General features: G+C 41.6%; 1 protein-coding gene and 1 long non-coding RNA gene across 18 annotated transcripts in view, besides 1 other annotated feature; one reads left to right on the top strand and one right to left on the bottom strand.

The window, feature by feature from the left end:
• The window catches only part of ACIN1 (apoptotic chromatin condensation inducer 1), a 37,051-nt gene that overhangs the window by 16,309 nt on the left and 758 nt on the right, over positions 1 to 19,984 (bottom strand). For 8 of the 17 annotated variants that reach the window (XM_005267415.5, XM_005267416.5, NM_001164814.2 and 5 more), the window contains exons 2-8: positions 18,607 to 18,672; positions 15,650 to 15,761; positions 15,110 to 15,229; positions 6,876 to 6,964; positions 4,675 to 5,937; positions 3,948 to 4,166; positions 3,279 to 3,394 (exon numbers count right to left, since the gene is read on the bottom strand). In XM_005267415.5, the coding sequence (XP_005267472.1) occupies positions 3,279 to 3,394; positions 3,948 to 4,166; positions 4,675 to 5,937; positions 6,876 to 6,964; positions 15,110 to 15,229; positions 15,650 to 15,761; positions 18,607 to 18,672 (1,985 nt within the window). Of the gene's footprint in view, positions 1 to 3,278; positions 3,395 to 3,947; positions 4,167 to 4,674; positions 5,938 to 6,875; positions 6,965 to 15,109; positions 15,230 to 15,649; positions 15,762 to 18,606; positions 18,673 to 18,779; positions 19,913 to 19,984 lie in introns of those variants that run through there. The other 9 variants (XM_047431115.1, XM_047431113.1, XM_047431114.1 and 6 more) reach the window with 2 other exon arrangements.
• On the top strand, positions 3,394 to 7,342 carry LOC124903288 (uncharacterized). The gene is made up of 2 exons (XR_007064077.1): positions 3,394 to 3,825; positions 4,588 to 7,342. It is a non-coding gene; the product is annotated as an uncharacterized LOC124903288 (long non-coding RNA).
• Positions 3,520 to 4,719: an enhancer, noted in NCBI's record as "MED14-independent group 3 enhancer chr14:23547601-23548800 (GRCh37/hg19 assembly coordinates)". NCBI's record gives its function as "activates an origin of replication core promoter dependent on BRD2, BRD4, P300/CBP and CDK7 cofactors, and independent of MED14, by STARR-seq in HCT116 cells {active_cell/tissue: HCT116}" and the evidence as "EXISTENCE:reporter gene assay evidence [ECO:0000049][PMID:35650434]".

The raw sequence follows: 19,984 nt of genomic DNA on the forward strand, positions 1-19,984 counted from the left end.
TTAGTTATTATAGAAAATTCACGAGGAGCTGAAAAACTGACGTGAAAATTTAATAAGAAACAGTGGGACTAGATACCCTCAGAAGCATACTGGTCCCAAGATAACCTAGAACAGTATGATTTTGGGGTATATGTCCTTAGATAATTTCTCAGTGGAGCAAACTCTATTGATGACAACAAATTCTGCTTTTTCATGCATCATTTGGGATATTGGCATTGTATGTCCCCTGGGGAATATCAATTACACCATCATATTGGCTTAAGGAACCAATACCTTCCTCCTACACAGGCAGAAGGACAAACATGCATTGTACCAAGAGCCTAAAACTGCTATTGCCTGCTAGGTCTGTGCATACAGGAAGGTTGTATCTAGAGAAATCCAGGTCTGAATTAACTACAGCTGAATGATACAGCTGCCCACACAAACAAATCCCCTCTTTTCTTTCTTCCCCTTTTTTTTTTTTTTTTTTTAAGTAAAAAGAGAATACCATTATTTTCTGCTATATGGGGACATTTTTGTTATACCCATACAAGGCAGAAGACCAGAGTTTTGAACAGCACTCAACTGAAACAGGACTGAGGACCCACAAATTCCTGCTCCAAGCAATGAAAAAGACACCTTACCTCATAAATTTAGAATTCCTCAGGCACAATCAGAATCAGAATGGATTTAACCAAACACAGCAAAAAGTCAGTCAATCTCTTCCAAATGGTGACAGGTCCTTGAAGTCTAATTTTTTTTTTTTTTAACACTTTACTGCTCTGTTTTTTAAAGTCATATGACTTCTTGTTGAGACAGACAGAAAAACCAAGGTTAGGCCATAAATGGTCTTTTCCATTTTTTTTTTTTGAGACGGAGTTTCGCTCTTGTTGCCCAGGCTGGAGTGCAATGGCGTGATCTCAGCTCACCGCACCTTCCGCCTCCCGGGTTCAGGCGATTCTCCTGTCTCAGCCTCCTGAGTAACTGGGATTACAGGTGCACACCATGCCCGGCTAATTTTGTATTTTTAGTAGAGACGGGGTTTCACCATGTTGGTCAGGCTGGTCTCGAATTCCTGACCTCAGGTGATCCACCTGCCTTGGCCTCCCAAAGTGCTGCAATTACAGGCATGAGTCACCACGCCTGGCCATGCCATAAATGGTCTTTTCCATTTAGCATTGTTGATTACGCTTTCAAAATTGGCCAGAGCTCTAGAGGGCTGCCAGACTGCACACTTAACACTCTGGAGGGGTGAGAGACCAGGAAGGGTGTTGTTAATCAGTTGTGGTAGGGCCTCCAGAAATGTATGCAACCTTCTCAAAGATTTATTTACCAGATCCAATGCCTATGGGTTTAGGCTTCTGGGCATGCTGTTTTGTTAGAATGTTGAACAACCCATGTGATAGGCAGGTAGAAGGAAAGCAGGTACGAGTGATGTGTGTGAACTGCTCCTCAGTGAAGACTGCATTTCCCTTCTATACACTACTCCACTGAAGCGGGCCTAGGCAACAATGGACAATCTAAGTATTTGCCCAAGATGCCACTTGCCTATCATCTTATTAGAATCAATGTGACTAAATTATCTCAGTCATAAAATGAAGATCAAAACCACCTTTACCTGGAGTGGGGGGACAGGAAACTCTATGACTCCAAGCTTCATGTGCCCTGGACTTGCATGGGAATGTCCAGAAAAAAAGCTGCTTCAAAACAAAATAAAATGCCTTTCTGTTGCTAGGATCTCATAAACCCACAGAATTTTAAGGCTAGCAAAGAGCTTTTCAGAAAATCACTTTCTTCCCAAGGTGCATCGGAAGCAGTTCCTCAGGCCCAATTAGTAGCAGGCTGTCAATACCCACTTCAAAACTGCCATTTCACAAAGGACATGCTTTTGTAAAATGGAATGTAAAATGTACCTCCATGGAATTGGGAGGAGGGGGGCAGGTATTATGTCTGGTTGAGGGATATGGAAGAGAAAATGTCACCCCATTTCCTCATCGATGATGTAGCTGGGGAATCCTGAATACCTTCCAGAATCCGCTGAGTTTTCACTTTATGGTCCCAGAAGAAAAACCCTTTTCCAAAGGATAGCGTACCCATTCCAGAAGGGAAAAACCAAAAAATTTCAAAGGAAGTAGAGTGAACTTTTGGCTGCCAAACAAAAAATGTTAACAGCCACAAGATGGCAGCAGAGGTAAGACTGTCAGAATCGACAAGGATTATACCCCTCAGCAAGGGTATACCCCCAGGTAAAAGCTATATAGTAAGGTCTATAAAACTATCATTAAAGTCACAGGCAAATGAGATAAATCATGTCACCTGCCCACTACCCTCCAAAAGTCAGAGTTAAAGTACAGTTTGAAGCTCTCAGAAGAGTATAAATTATTAGACAATTACATATAGGGGAAATCATACTGGTAGCATTAGTGTTAATATGGCATAAAAACAAGTATAGAATAACTTTAGGCTAACAGTCTACACAGGACATTCTACAAAGCAGTTCAGGGTTCCTGATGTCTAAAAGCTACGCAATCTTATTCCCATAAGGCTTCATTTTTTCATTTCCCAGGAGACTTTGAAGCCAGGAATTCTGGCTCATTGGCTTCTTAATTTATAATACCTATCTCAGAAGAATGAATGACATACCTATTTAATTCTAATTTAACCTGATATGAGTATTTCTCTAGGACTTAATATAAAGATTTTAAAAACTCACATTAATTGTATAAATTTTAAGTTCAATCAAATGGTCTTAAGGGCCCAGGAACAAACTTCTGACTTGAAAGGAACTTCATAATTTGCTGTACTGTATGCTGTAAGAACTAGGATATCCTAGCAGAACTAGGATAGCTTAATGACAGGTAGTAACTAGGGAACTAGGGAAAATGCACAAACTAAAAAATAGCACCCAGCTGTGCCTTTATTAAGACCCTCAATATCCTTTATTAAACTGGGTTCCTAGGTAAACATGAGTTAAAGATTAAGATGCCCGGAGTCAATTCCCTTACATGGTTTTGAGTGTGGAAGCAGAAGCTTCTATTGCCTAAATCTTAAAGGAGTTGACTATTTTGGCTGGATGATCCCAGGTGAGTTTTCCTTGTGCCCTGACGACCACTTTTCAGGTTACCTTAAAGGTGGCAGCTCCCAACATAGTAACTGAAGTCTAGCCTTTGTCCAGATAAAGCTCTGCCTTTATGTTTTAAAAGGAAACTAGGACTGCTTAGTCAAAGAACCCTAGGGAGCGAAGAACTATCGCACACTCATAGTTCCCTGTTATACCCCGGTCGAGATATATCACTTACACAGTGTGATGAATTCTTTCTGATTCTGGCAGATGAGAGGTCTGAGTCTCTGAGGTTTGGGGCTGTGTGGCAGCTGGTGGCTCTGCCTCTTCAGCTTCACACTTCTTTGGGCTCCCCTGTCAGGAGATAGCAAAAACGAACAGAGCAAAACATTTAGATCTGCTTGGTTCCTTTTCTTCTACCTGGAGCCTGAAAAAGGCAGGGCAGGACATACACAGTACCAGCTCCACACACGGCCCTCTGTATCTGTTATTTCATTTTAGAATAAGGAAAGGAACATGGCTTAAAAATAGGTACTTCAAGAATATTTATGCCAGTAATCATTTTATCAGAATTTTTAATTTTTTTCCTTTTCCTCAGTGATCCTTGTTCTGACAGAATTCTTTTTTGAGAGAACTGAGAAAAGGCTGACTTCCTTTTGGCAGATAAAAGGAGGAGTTATGAGGAAGAATTGACCCTGGGGGCCCTGGAGATAACCCTGCTGCTCAGCCTCATGTAGAACTTCTACGAACCAGGGAGCTGGAAATGAGTTAAGCAGGATTAACAGGTATCCACCACATTTCTACTGAACCTTGTCCAGACTTAACTTTTTAGTTTTATAGCAAAGACAAGAGGGAAGATCTTGCTTAATCCTCCATCTCTGTGTAGGGAGGGGTCACAATAGCCTACCCGCTCAGGCTGTAACCTCTGGGTCACATGCTTTTCAGCTGATTCAGGCTGACTCAGACGCCTTGCTTGGACAGAGGATGAGGAGGTGGAAGTCCTCTCCTTTGGCTCACAGACCTGCAGTTGTGGCACTGGTGGAGTTGCAACCTCCTGACCAGAAGAGGGATCTTTGGTTTCAGTATAGCTGGTGCTGCTGTCCCTGGAGACTCCAGGGCTCAGAGACTAAAACAAAATGAAACACATAACAAGGAAAATTATTGTATATGGTATATATTCAGTAGATTGCTGAGTTTTCCAGTTTCCATGGACCAAATTTTATACTCTGGACCTTTTTGTCTGTGTTTACTCCCATTTTGTCTGTGTTTATTCCCATTTAGTGGTCTCCTTGACCACTTATTTAACAAATTATTAAGTTTTAACTAGATGCTAGATCCTGGGACACACACGTAAAAGGGCATGCCCACATCCTCAAGAAGTTTCCATCTAGTGGAGGAGATGAGTACATAAATTCAACATTCTATCAAGGGACTCAAAATGAAAAAGAACCCCATTTCGGGAATCAGTTAATTGAAAATACGATTCTGAAATGAGGAGAAAGTAATCAGTGAAGGAGAGTAAAGGAGGCTTTTCCTATTCCTTTCAGAAATCATGACAGGCTCTCCAGGGGCTGAAATGAAAACCACTGGAATATGACAGAACATTAATACACCCGGGATTCTCTCATACTCACTTTTCTGCTGTTGCTTGATGCTGAACGAGAACGTGAACGTGACCTTGATCTGGACTCTGATGTTGATCTGGAGCCCATCTTGGGTCTACCACGAGGGTTGGCATGAGTACGTGCCTGGGCTACATCTCTCTGCTTGGATCTGAGCGGTGAATGAGACCGAGAACCTGAACTGTCAGGAGAGCGAGATCTTGATCTAGAACTGGAGGAGGAAGATGAGGAGGACCGGCTAGAGGATGAATCAGCTGACTGTTTCAATCTGTGGCTTGGGAGAAGGGTATGAGAAGCTCTTCTGCCTTCCTTCTGTTCCAAAGATGGCTGTTTCAGACATTCTTCAGTGATTCCTTTGGCCAGTGCTAATTCCTCAATTTTTAGAGGGAGGGGCTGAGCAGATCTGTCTGACTCAGGTTCAAGATCCTTCTGGGCTGAGTAGTCAGCCAGTGTGCTTTTCTGAACCAGAGGCAGGACACTCTCCTCTGGCACTTTCTCTGCTGGAGATTCTGCTTTGGTGTCTGAAGGACTTGACAAAGGAGACAGGCCTCCTACCAACTGGACAGTATGCTGAGATACTAATAGCTCCCTGGTGTCAGCATCTGTATTAGGAGGAGATAACTGAATGAGGACAGCGGGGGCTGGGCCTTCCATGGGCTCTATTTCTTCTTCGCTATGGAGCTGTGGATGAGGTGGTGGAGAAGATGCTTCCTTTGTTAGTAAAGGTGGAGGAGTCTCCTCCTCGCTGGCAGTTTGCTCTGGCAGCGCTACAAGTGAGGCCTTCTTTCGATCTTCAGTCAGTCGAGGAGGGGAAGGAGACTTCGATTTTTCCTTTAAGCCTTGTGAAGATTTTATTTCTCTTTCTTCCTCCTCAAGGGGAGATGTTGTTTTCATTTCCTTCTCCTGCTGCTGTCTGGCCAGATGACTTTTTCTAGCCTCTTCCTGGGATCTTGTAAATCTCCCTCCTCTCTCTAACACCTCCTGTTCCTGGGATCTTGTTTTGGGTCTCTCATCCATCATCTCCTCTGGTTTTACTCTAGGTATCTCTTCCCCTTCTTCCTTAAACTCTTTCAGGATTGGTGCCTCCCTAGATTTTTGTCCCTCATCATCACCTTCCTCTTCTTCATCATCTTCTTCCTCCTCCTCCTCCTCCTCTTCTTCCTCCTCTGTTTTCAAATTTCGATCTGCTCTGACCCTTAGGTTTCTGGAAGGTGTTTCTTGATCCTCTTCCTCCTCAGCAGGTTGGCTGCCCTCAGACAGTTTAGCTGCTCTTGCCTGAAAGAACAGATACACAATGGCTCCAAATGTATTTGCTCACAGTCAACAGAGGAGAGAAAGTATCTAATGAAGACACCCCTAGGAAGGAGAAATTCAATGATATATACTTTCAGCAACAGAAACAGGAGTGACAGGAGACAATCATGACTAACGTAGCCCTTAGGGGAATCAAAACAAAGTGACCAAAAGAAATATCACAATGAAGCTACTTGTATGTAGTTTAAATTTTAGCTTCAAGCACCCCCTTTTTTTTTTTTTCAGTAAAATATTAGCAGAACATCTGGAAAGTAAAAGGGTGGATAGGGGGCTGAAAGGAACTAACCTACTATCAATTAATACGATTATCTTTTTATCATTTTGGTATATTTCTTTTTGTTCTTTCCTCTAATCATTTCCTTTGTACAGTCATAATTACACTACACATAACATTTTTGTATTCTGCCCACTTAGTGTTATATAACTTTAAAGCTTTGATTGAATGGTTAATTATGTCATATCTTGTCTAATAATGTGCTTTAAGAATACAGAGCAGCCTGCTAATTTTCAAATTTAAACTTTTAAAAAATATTCACTTAGAAATCTAAAAGGCAGAGCAGATCTAAATAAAAAGACAAAACGAACAACAAAAAGATGACAAAGAGGAGAAGGAAGATAACCACAAAGAAATCTAGAGGCCAGGCAGTGGCTCATGCCTGTAATCCCAATCCTTTGGGAGGCTGAGGTGGAAGGACTGCTTAAGCCTAGGAGGTCGAGGCTGTAGTAAGCTGTGATTGTGCCACTGCACTCCAGCCTAGGCGACAGAGCCAGACTCTGTCCCAAAAAAGAAAAACAAAACCCCTAAATGTAGAGACATACAAACTCAAAACAAGTCTGAAGAAGAGAAGATATCCAAAGCATTACTGAAGAGGTAATGCTTTAGGAGGTATCTGAGTTACCTGTCTGACCCTAGATGATCGTCTTTCTCCTTTCCTTGGTTTCTCATCATCAGAGTCACCTTTCTCTTCAGAAATTGAGGAGCTTTTTCCTATTGAATGAAAAAGAATCAAGTCAGATTCATGAAGTGAAGACTCATTCATGGCTTTTTAAAAATCAGGCTTTCTAATATCCAACCAATTATAGCATATGAGCCTATCAAGACATATCTGTATCGGTTTCTTTGACTTCTACACTAAAGAAAAGACTACAAAAAGCCCTAACTAGGTCAGGGTCTTATTGGTAATTCTTGGTGTGCAAGTCTAGAATATTTTCAACACCTCGAAGCCAATTCACATGTTATAAATAACTCAAATAAATGTAAAATAATTTCCAGGGGCTTCAAACTGTCTAGCAGGGATGTACAAATATGAAGTGTACTTATTTCTACAAAGTGTTCTTACTCTGAATAAAGTTTAAGACTTCATTATGTTCTGTATCCATTTTTTTGGATTGCCTATTACTACTACTTTCTAATTTCAACCAAAATATTATGATGAAATATATGAATTTGCACAATAACAAACTCAAGAAATAAATACTTAGAGGAATGTTTTTCAGCGCCCTAAAGTTCCTGAAATTACTTCAAGCCAACTGGATGGGGTTTCAGAATTGGGTCCTGTCTATTAGGTTTTATGTATTAGAGCTCAATATTTTTTTTTTTTTTTTTTTTTTTTCTGAGATGGAGTCTCACTCTGTCACCCAGGCTGGATGCAGTGGTGCAATCTCGCCTCACTGCGACCTCTGCCCCCTGGCTTCAAACCAGTCTCATGCCTCAGCCTCCTGAGTAGCTGGGATTACAGGTGCCCACCACCATGCCTGGCTAATTTTTGTATTTTTAGTAGATATGGGGTTTCATCCTGTTGGACAGGCTGGTCTCAAACTCCTGACCTCAAGTGATCTGCCCGCCTTGGCCTCCCAAAGTGCTGGGATTACAGGCATGAGCTCACATGTTTTTCTTTTTTTTTTTTTGAGACAGAGTTTTGCTCTTGTTGCCCAGGATGGAGTGCAATGGCATGATCTAGGCTCACCACAACCTCCGCCTCCCAGGTTCAAGCGATTCTCCTGCTTCAGCCTACCGGGCAGCTGGGACTGCAGGCGCACGCCACCATACCTGGCTAATTTCGGTATTTTTTACAGAGGCGGGGTTTCATCATGTTGCCTAGGCTGGTTCGAACTCCTGGGCTCAAGCAATCCCCCCGCCTTGGCCTCCCAAAGTGCTGGAATTACAGGCGTGAGTCACCGCACCCGGACTAGGTGAGATTTTTTTTTTTTTTAAGGAAAAAAAAAGTTCTATTAAAAAGCTTGGAAACCACCAATCTAGGTTATCCTGAACAATAAATCCATGTAAAACGGAAAGAAAGTTTCACTCAAATTCCATGAAGGAAGGTAACTGGGTAAATCACTTAAGTAATTTGGGTCTCAATATCTTTCTTTTTAGACAGTGTTTTACTCTGTCACCCAGGCTGGAGTGCAGTGGCATGATCATGGCTCACTGCAGCCTCAGCCTCCAGGGCTCAAGTAATCCTCCCACCCCGGTCCTCCCAAAGTGCTGAGATTAAGGTATAAACCACTGTGCCCGAGTCTCAAATGTCATGATTGAGAAAAAGGAGGGGCTGCACTAGATGATTTCCAAATTTCCTACCAGAATTAAGATCAACTAGGCGGCCGGGCACGGTGGCTCACGCCTGTAATCCTAGCACTTTGAGAGGTCGAGGCAGGCGGATCACGACGTCAGGAGATCGAGACCATCCTGGCTAACATGGTGAAACCCTGTCTCTACTAAAAATACAAAAAATTAGCCAGGCGTGGCGGCAGGTGCCTGTAGTCCCAGCTACTCAGGAGGCTGAGGCAGAATGGCGTGAACCTGGGAGGCGGAGCTTGCAGTGAGTCGAGATCGCGCCACTGCACTCCAGCCTGGGCGACAGAGCGAGACTCCGTCTCAAAAAAACAAAAAAGATCAACTATGTACAGTAGCAATACTAACATCAATGAGAACCAGTTTAGAAAATAGCAGGAAGATAATTATATTCCAGATACTTGATCAGCTAGATTGGACTCAATGTTAATACAGTACAAAAGGTTCTGTACACAAAACCATGTTGTATAGTAATAGTGCAAATAAAGCAGATGGTATGCAGCTCTAACCCAAGATCTTCTCTCTTATTTTTTTTTTTTTCTGAGAGAGAGTCTTGCTCGTTGCCCAGGCTGGAGTGCAATGGCACGATTTCGGTTCACTGCAACCTCCGCCTCCTGGGTTCAAGTGATTCTCCTGCCTCAGCCTCCTGAGTAACTGGGACTACAGGCGCCCGCCACCACGCCTGGTTAACTTTTGTATTTTTAGTAGAGACGGGGTTTTGCCACGTTGGCCAGGCTGGTCTCGAACTCCTGACCTTGTCATCCTCCCCCTCCTTGGCCTCCCAAAGTGCTGGGATTACAGGTGTAAGCCACCATGCCCGGCCTTCTCTATTTCTATATCCTTACAATCTAAAATGAACTAGGCGAATGCTTCTGTAATAATAATTAAAAAATCAAAATGAGGCTGGGCACGGTGGCTCATGCCTGTAATCTCAGCACATTGAGAGGCCGAGGCGGGCAGATCACGAGGTCGGGAGTTTGAGATTAGCCTGGCCAATTAGGTAAAACCTCATCTCTACTAAAAATACAAAAAAAATTTTAGCTGGGCGTGGTGGCGTACGCCTGCAGTCCCAGCTACTCAGGGGGCTGAGGCAGAAGAATCGCTTGAACCTGGGAGGCAGAGGTTGTAGTGAGCCGAGATGGCGCTATTGCACTCCAGCCTGGGCGACAGAGCGAGACTCCATCTCAAAAAAGAAAAAAAAAAAAAAAAACCCAAAATGAAACTAATGAAATCAATTAGAAGACTACACATATTTTGTAAAACTTTACTTCATGATCATTTGATTAAAAGGACCTCTGAGTATATACCATTTCGTATCTGGGTAAGTGAAGAAAGATTTGTGTTATGGTTGTTCATACAGGATATATGATTAGAATATATAGTGAAAGGCCAGACTCTTTAGCAAACATTTGAAGACATCTGTAAGACAGTAGTGCAGTGAAATGAAATACTCATTTCATAATTCAGTGATCTGAAATAGGCTAAGTTATAAAATAAGTAAAACCAAAATAAAAAGTTTTCATAAATGTTAGGCAAAGTTCCTTCACAAGTATCAGTGAAAGAAGCTGATTTATCTCACACACACCAAAAAAAAAAGGCAAGTGCAAGGTTGGTCAGAGATAAATGTGTTAAAGTCAACGCTGGGCGCAGTGGCTCACGCCTGTAATCCCAGCACTTTGGGAGGCCGAGGTGGGCGATCACGAGGTCAGGAGATTAAGACCATGGTGAAACCCCGTCTCTACTAAAAATACAAAAAAAAAAATTAGTCGGGTGTGGGGGCGGGTGCCTGCAGTCCCAGCTACTTGGGATGCTGAGGCAGGAGAACGGCGTGAACCTGGAAGGCAGAGCTTGCAGTGAGCAGAGATCGCGCCACTGCACTCCAGCCTGGGCGACAGAGCGAGACTCCATCTCAAAAAACAACAACAACAAGAACAACAACAACAAAGTCAAATAACTGAGTTGCAATTTTAAAATTAGTATGTACAAGCAAAACAGCCTCTTTATCTACCTACTGTGAATTATATGCTATTTATTGAATTATAATGTTATTTTTGATACTGTAAAACTGCAGTGATAGGATTTCTGGATGATTACTCCTCTGGAAGAACTTGTAGTAAGTCATCAAAGAGATCTGGAGAAATGAACAGGGCTGTTCAGAAAGTTCTGGTCATCACTGTTTTGCAATAAAAGCAGAAACTGGAGGCGCCTCAGACATGAAACAAGAAATTAGTCAGCAATGCAAAATATAAAGAGATGAGGAATCTCTAGTTCCTTGGAAAGAGCTGATGTGATGCAGACAAACTTCTGAAAAAGGTGATATCTTCTATTATAAGAACATGGCCACAATGAATGTCTTAGGCCAGATGTTAGTAACACGTGTAGACAGTGAGCGCTTTAGCTAAGGGTGGAGCTGATACTGATAACAGGCTAATAAATACATTTCAGGATTCGAAAAACAAGTCAGGGTAAATATTAGATTTCCAAGAGTCCAAAGCCAGAAGGCTTCACAGAAAGGAAAAGGCAGTTGCTAGACAATGCAGGATATATTAAAGTGCAGAATGTTTAAGGGTTATAGAGGAAATAGTTCTTCATCCTAGAAAACAAATTCCTGGGTAGGATTTGTGGGACCAAAGTAAGGAAGCCAGAGATCGAAGAAAAGCCTGTGGCTAAAAGGTAACCTTAGGTGTGAATAAGAAGCAGGAATGAAGAGAATACAGACCTGGAAACAATGCCAAACCTAAATCTGACTCATGTTAGACCTGTAAGTAAGTTACCTAGCATTTCTCTAGAATTTCCGCATCCAGGTTTTAATATGGAGAAAACGGAATGAGGGGCATACTCTATAAGCCAAAGGCTGGCTAAAATCACCTTTGTTAAAGAATCAATATTCTGAATATGCATTTAAAAATGTATTTTCTTAGTTTGAGCTCTTTTTGAAAAAATTAAGGACGGTAAGAATTTCTGTACACACAGTCATGATATAGAAGGAAATTCAGACAATTTATGACTATGGTAGGTGGATAATGAGTCCTAACACCTTAGAAATATCTGAAGAAAGTGATGGAGACATAAGAGGGAAAGTCAGACAGGATTTTATAAACCAATTATTTCTTTGAGACATGGTTTCACTCTGTTGTCTGCCACCTTGACTGCTAGGGCCCAAGCAATCTTCCCACCTCAGCCTCCCGAGTAGCTGGGACTACAGGCATGTGCCATCACAGTCAGCTAATGTTTTCTATTTTTTTGTACAGATAGGACTCACTATGTTGCTCAGGCCAATCTCCTGGGAGATCCTCCCACCTCAGCCTCCCATAGTGCTAGGATTACAGGTGTGAGACACCACACCTGGACAAACCAATTCTTCCTTCCTATTTGGAATTTTGCCAATAGCATATAAACAGGAGGATGCTGGAATATAAACCAAAGATCTTGATAAATTATAACACTGAAAAACTCTTCCTTCAGTTAGTCATTCATAAAATGAATTGGTCAACAGAACCACTCAGGGACTTTTTAAAAAATGTAGAGCCCCAGGACTCCCATTCCTTGAGATTCTTTGGGTAGGGGCCAGGAATCCATATTCTTAAACATAGTAATATTAAAACAAATAAAAAATCTCCCTCAGGTGCCAGTAGCGTTTAGAAAAATGTTAGTAGGAAACTTAATCAAAAATTGTTATTCAAGAGAGAACCCCAAAACATTCAAAGCCAACAAATAAGCTGCCATTGCAATGGCATACTGGCATATGGCAGACTGAGATTCTATACCTGGAAGAATCTGATTTCTGGACAAACACTAGGGTTAATGCTGATTCAACTAAGCACTGATAGAATTCCAAATGGCCACTCCATTCAGGACCTTAACTAAATTTTGTACAACATCTATAATGGGATTCTTATCTAAGCCAAGATCAGAGGTAGAAAAGTTTATGGCATAAAGGACACTGAAGAGCATTTACGGCAATTATGAGCAGTACTCTACAATTTACCACATTCATATTTTCCAATTTATTTTTCACCTTTTTTTTTTTTTAACGTCTGGGGTTTTTTTTTTCCTCCATCAATCATTAGCCATGGGCAGGGTCTTACTGATGACATAAAGCACTGAAAAGATTGGCTACCCTTACTCTAAATCTTTGCTTTTGAAATCTATTTCAGAAATCATTTCTCATTTTCATTTCGAATTATATTAAGAACTGACAGCCTCTCTTTTTAAAGAGAGGTCCTTATCAAATCATGGTCCTATTAAGAATTTTCAATGGTTCCCCCATTACCTATAGAACTAAAAAAAAAACCCTCATACTTACTGGCCTGGCATTTAAAGCCCTCTGTGTATCACCCTCATCTACCTTTTAAATTGTTTTGCTGACTATTCTTGAATGTGAAATACTCTACTCTGGCTAGATTAGTCTACTACCTCTCCTTTAAAAATACCATTTTCATTCCTATCTCTCTGACTTTGTTCCTTCCTAAAAATATCTTCTTGTATCCTCTCTGCCAAACCATTTCTAAGGCTCAGCTCAAATCCTGTATCTCCTTATGAGGCTTTCTCTAATCACTGTAGTCCTCAGAGCTCTTCCACTCTTTTGGTTCCCTATGTCTGTATCATTGTCACATACTATCTTCTGTTGTTCGATTTATGTGTAATTGTTCTCTCTTCCTAACAGACTTTATGCTGTGCTAACTCCCAATATACTCTCACAGAGATATGTATGCAGTAGGAATTCAATAAATTTTTTTTTGTTTTATGTGAGAAGAAATACCGACAATTTTAGAAGAGCTTTCTCTTTCCTCTCGGCTTTAAAATCAAGGGGGAAAGGGCGCAGGGAGCAAAGTGGATCAGCTGAGGGTCTACTACTCTCGTATTTCAGGAGAAAAGAGGTCCCTAAGGAACTTAATAATTCCAAAGTATTGGCCAGTATTTTCTTACTAAAAGATTTCTAGAAATGTCTTTCTGGGTCTAAGACTAGGATCAAGAAAAACAGGGACTGAGTAAAACAGGACCTTAAAACTAGACTCAAAGGCTCTCTATTTTCTCTAGCCTTTTGGAAAATTTCTTTCCCACCATTAAATGTCTCCTAAAAAATCTATTTCCATGAAGAGTCTATCGCTGCTCAGCCTTTTAACTAAAATCAAGTGTAGTCCATGAAGGAATTCTGTATTAATCAGAAGAGCTGGAAACCTCCATACATCCTAAAAACACTGATTATGGTGGATTCCGCATCCCCCTCAACACTAATTATTCAAAATACTTGTTAAGTTACACATTGGTTTAACATATGTACTAACAATCCACATGTCTTATATACATATTAAGTATCCCTTTTCCAAAATGCTTGGGATCACAAGTGTTTTAGATTTTGGATTTTTGAATATTTGCATTATACTTTCTGATTCAGCATCCCTAATCTGAAAACCCAAAATCTGAAATGCTCTGATGAGCATTTCCTTTGAGTGTCATGTGAATACTCAAAAAGTTTTGGGTCTTTGGATTAGGCATGCTCAACCTGCACATATTTTCCTCAAAGTATACTGACTTAGACAGGTAGTTCCCAAAAGACAAAGGCTATATTTATAGACTTTTGCTTGAGATATTATGCAAAATTGGGTGCCTATTATGATTTTATGTATTTTTTGAGACACAGTCTCGCTCTATTGTCCAGGCTGAAGTGCAATGGTGCAATCTTGGCTCACTGCAACCTCTGCCTCCCGGGTTCAAGCGATTCTCCTGCCTTAGCCTCCCGAGTCACTGGGATTACAGGTGCCTGCCACCATACCCAGCTAATTTTTATATTTTTAGTAGAGACAGGGTTTTGCCATGGCTTTTTCACGGTTTTTCCAGGCTGGTCTGGAACTCCTGACCTCAGGTGATCCTCCTGCCTCAGCCTCCCAAAGTGCTGGGATTAGAGGCGTGAGCGACCACACCCAGTCTGGGTGCTTAATATTTTCTATAATGTGAAGAAATTAATTAATCTTGCCTGAACCAATCCCATATACTAGGTTAGAGCTCCCTACTATAATATGCTCACATAATACTCTGCGTTGCCTTGCACAGTAGCCAAAACAACTGTAACTAATGTCCATGTCCTCACTAGACTAAGTTTCTTGGGGCTGAGACTTGTTTCTTTCTTTACTATATTCCTCGTGCCTAGCATGTGCCTGGTATACAACAAGTACACAATAAAAATTTGTTGATTAAACCACAGCAGATACCCAACTCCAGAGGGTGACTGAATGTGTTAACACGTAATATACACAACTGGTGAAGAGATGAAAAAGAGCTGACTGTTGCCAAATTCAGAGGTAGAAGAGTTGAAGAGGTACAGATGAGAAGAAAAATCACACTGCTTCGTAAAACACTGAGAAGGTAACACAATATATAGGTGAAAGCAGACTTCAAAAAGGGTATACTTTCCATGAGAAACAGATGTCAAATATCAATGTCACAGAATTTCCCTGGGACTTTCATGGAGGCTTAGCATGAAAGGAGGTGTAACTACCTCCCCCCACCAACTACGCAGGATTGACAAAACAGCGCAGTGGGGAGGGAGATACGTACTGGGCGAATGTCTGCTGAGCTCCAGCTCTGGTCTCTCCAGGCTGCTCTGAAAGTCAGGAGGCAGCAGGGAAGCCACTCCCTCAGGATGGATCATCTCGTCCTCCGACTCAGCTGAAGCTTCTGCAAAGTACAGATCGGGTCGGGGCAGGGAGGGAGTGAAGGACTCAGCATGTAGGAATATGTAGAGGAGTGAAGGAGGTCAGGCAAAGTCACAGATACAGAGATACATACCAAAAAGAGCACCGTATAAAAAGAAAAAACTCCCTGGGATTCAGCTCTACTTCATCTAAATGGTAGCTTAATTTACTTATAACTCTTCCTGTTGGCAGGAATCCTCTTCTAACAAGACAGTCAAATTAAGTGTCCTCTTCCCTGACAAAAGTAAATAGTAAACCACTTGGCTTCATGGGCTATGAAAGCAAGTAAGTAGCAGTCTCAGCCTCACTTATTTCTGAAATTGTCTAGTTAGACAGGCCTATCTACTTGGTGACAGGGATAAGAATGACGAACTCCTTGTTAAAAGTGACAATCTGGGCTTACCTTCAAGTTCTGCAGCTTCTCGAGCTTCACGTTCCAGACGCTGCCTAAGTAGCTCCTGCTGCTTTTCCAGATACTGTTTTATGAAACTGTTCTGGCTCATTTCCTCACCAATCTGTGTAGAGGAAATGAAAACAGAGGGTCTAGGAAAACAAACCAGGAGAATGCAAAGAAGAACATTCCATGGAGCAAAGGTCCACTCCTTATAGTTGCGCCCAAGAAAGATAACTAAAATGTTGGAAGGCTTTTTTCTAAGTTAGTTCTATATTGAAGAACAGAATAGCCTTGAGTCACACACAAAAAAAGGGCAAAAAGAAGAGCTGCACATAAGTTTTTGATTTAAATATTCAGTTCCCAAAGAGTGATACTGGTATACAAATTACTATTCTTTATTTTTATTTTTTGAGACAGAGTTTCACTCTGTTGCCCAGGCTGGAGTGCAGTGGCGTGATCTTCCCTCACTGCAACCTCTGCCTCCTGGCTTCAAATGATTCTCCTGCCTCAGCCTCCTGAGTAGCTGGGATTACAGGTGTGCACCACCACACTCGGCTGATTTTTGTATTTTTAGTAGAGACGGGGTTTCACTATGTTGGTCAGACGGGTCTCAAACTCCTGACCTCAAGTGATCCACCCGCCTCAGCCTCCCAAAGTGCTGGGATTACAAGTGTGAGCCACCGTGCCCAGCCACAAATAACCTTAAATTAAAATTCCTGTAATTATATCTTTTAGGCTAAATTCCTAGATTACGTGGAACATTATCTAAAGGGTAATCTAAAATTTCCTTTTGGTAGTATCAAGACTGAAACATGGGGGCTCACGTCTGTAATCCCAGTACTTTGGGAGGCTGAAGTGGGAAGACTGCTTGAGCTCAGGAGTTCAAGATCAGTCTCAGCAACATGGCAAAACCCGTCTCTACCAAAAATACAAAAAGGTGGGCATATTGTGGTGTGAGTCTGTCATCCTGGCTACTCAGGAGGTGGTGGGTGCAGTGAACTGAGATCGTGCCACTGCACTCCAGCCTGGGTTAAAGAGCAAGACTCCATCTCAAGAAAAAAAAAAAAAAAAGCCAGTTCCTCCAAAAGATCAACCGTTACCTATCCAGGAAACATTTTTTTTTTTTTTTTTGAGACGGACTATCACTGTCATCCAGGCTGGAGAGCAATGGCGCGATCTTGGCTTGCTGCAACCTCCGCCTCCTGGGTTCAAGACATTCTCCTGCCTCAGTCTCCTGAGTAGCTGGGATTACAGACATGTGCCACCACAACCAGCTCATTTTTGCATTTTTAGTATAGACGGGGTTTTGCCATGTTGGCCAGGCTGGTCTCAAACTCCTGACCTCAGGTGATCTACCCGCCTTGGCCTCCCAAAGTGCTAGCATTACAGGCGTGAGCCACAATGCCCGGCCTCATATCCAGGAAACATTTTATCAAACAACTCCAAAATTCAAGTATAGTATTTAAAAGTATGAAATCAAGAGACTAAGAAAAGGGATATCCATTCAGCATTTAGACAAAGTTATAACTCCATTTTGTCTGGGTGAAAGGAAATCCTTGGTAACAGGAGCTTATGCCTTTTCCTATTTTTTTTTTTTTGTAATACAGATTCCCAAGTTGCCCTTCTGACCTCCAGCTTTCTCTTCACAAGTTCTCCTCCCTAGAACCTTCTTGCTTAGCAAGTCCTATTTAGAACTGAAAAAGCAAAAAAACCTGAATACTTTCTATGTTATTAGTCATGTTTCCTAAACATAGTAAAGGTTTATTTTCACCTAAAGTAGAAATGAGTCTCTTGGCACTCAATGGACATTGTTGAAGGGTGGGTTGCATGTGTATTACAGAATAGGCATGTTTGCTGCACAAACCCGGTGTTAATAAAAGCAAAGCTTCAAAGACTAACATGCAATGGGCAAAAGGAATACAATTAAGCTGATTAACTTATGCAGTTTCTTATGCTTGTTAAAGTACTTAATTGAACCTCTGAATGCTGGCTAGATTATGATACTTACAGCTTAATGAGGTGATAACAAAGGAGGAGGAGGGCTCTCTTGTTTTCCACAGTATCCTGAGACTTCATCTAGTACTGAGGCTGCACACTATTGCTTTAACAAAGACTTGGATTTTTCCTTTAAGTATATGACACATTATAATGAGGGGATTTTTAAAAGCTGAAAGAAACTTTAAGAGACTGTGCAGCCTAATAATTTTTGGATTTTAACTGTGGAATAATTTAAAAATTTTATGCAGAAACTCAATAGTTAAAAAGTAGATCTAATCTAGTTTAAGAGAGGAGTATGAGCCTTGCTTACTTGGGAAAAAGGTATTTCCCCTAGGAAGCTCCCCAAAGCAGCTCCACAAAACCCTAAGAGAACAGTTATAAACCCATGGGTTTAGTCTGTTTCTCATATTACAGATAAGGAAATGGAGAAGACCAAGGCCTCCAAAGGTTGTTTCTTATCCTAAGTAAAGAGGTATTAGTAATGTTTATGAGTAAGTGCACTGAGTTAGTAGTTAACACTAGTAATGGTGGGTGACTTACACAGGATTGAACCCTTGGAAAATCTACATCAACAAGAGTTCTTAATCAGCAACTATTTCCCTACACTGCCATATTGGTGATCTACTTCATATCTATACTCAAAGACATCAACTACCTTTCCTAAATTCATGGCAGATAAATGACTTCAGATCTCTGTACTACACGTAATTAATGGAAGCCACACCTTTCTACACATGCCATTTCAATTATTATAAACTAACAGTGCCTCTGATTCTGTTCTTTACTCCAGGCCCTTGTATACAACTGGGTTGATTAGAATTCAACTGTCCTGGTTTGAGAACATTTCTGACTAAGAGAACTTAGGAAAACAGTCATGAGGACTTAAGCATCAAATATACAACACCACGTCCTTCCATGTGTCTGGATATCCAAAGGGCCCACTCCATTGAATACACCTTCTTTCTCACCTGGGAATTTGGCTGGAATGCAGCATGGGGTGTTGAGTGTTTCTGTAAATTTTCTAGCATTAGAGCCTGGTATAGAGAAGGGTAAAAGTCAGAAATGATGAGGAAAAAAAAGAAAAACAAACCCCCACCTCTACCACAACCTCTAAATTAAACGCAATGACTTAAATACACACAATTAAACTGTATTCCTTTTCCAGGGACCTGAAAACCCTTTACTAACACTGTTCTCATTCATCTTCAGAAGACCCATAAAGGTAGCCATGGTTACTGTTACTAAATGTACAGATATAAAATGCAGGCACACAGAATCAGTGACCTGGCTATGTCATAATATCAGTAATAGAACCAGTACTAAAATCCCTATTATCTTCTGCACTTTCGCCAAGTGCCCCTTCTAAATCTGATCATGCATGTAAAATTACTTAAAATACTCAAACCAGCCATGGGGCTCCTGGTTTTTGCCTGACGGAATTACTTGGTCAAAGGGTTACCCAGTACCAGGGTCAATTTGTATAATTTCCAGTACTGTGGCACCTAGATTTATCAAATTTATAAAATTTTCAAAGAGGAAGCTACAGAAGAAAATGACCACAGACCCTGTAAACTGTGGTCTAACCTAGTCTATCCACACAAACACACACACACAAACACACACACACAAAACTATCAGCTTCTGTATAAGCAACGGTCTGCCAACTCAACCCTGGAGCCAACCCAGACCTAATCTGCACTACCTGCCACGTATCCTGTTGAACTCTAATTAAAACCAAGACATCCTCATCTTCCCTTCTTTAAACCAAACCTATACACTTGAATCGAGCTACACCTACCTCATGACAATCCCACCTTAATCTACTCAAACCGATTCAAAATCCCCAATATATATCAACCTGCCTCGCCTCTCTCACCAATATTCACCAAACTCTTAACCACCCAAATTGCCACTAGATGCCACTAAATTAGAGACCTCTCTCTCATCAAGTCCCTTCAAATAAAGGTCTCTCTTCATCTCACCTCCTCATCTAATCGAGCAGACATTTTACCCTACCCCAGTCCTATTCGTGCAGATACCGATACCAACCCCATCCACCCCTTCGCGCAACTATACCCCTAACTCCGACCCAGCCCAACTCGCCCCCCTCAGGCCAGCAACGCCGTAGGTTGTAGTGGGATTTAACTCCTTCTGCAGCGCATGCGCCGAAACCACAGATACAAACAAGGAGGGGGTGGGGGAAGGAGGAAGGAGCTTAAGACACTCCTGGAGAGTAGTGCACACCCTCCCATTTGGGCTCGCGCTGCTGCCGTTAAGGCGGGAACCGGCGCGATCTCCATTCCAGCGCGAACCTCATCAACCACCGTGCGCGCGGATCCAGAGGCT

The sequence above is a fragment of the Homo sapiens genome, chromosome 14 (genome assembly GCF_000001405.40).
Source record: "Homo sapiens chromosome 14, GRCh38.p14 Primary Assembly".
NCBI lineage: Eukaryota > Metazoa > Chordata > Mammalia > Primates > Hominidae > Homo > Homo sapiens.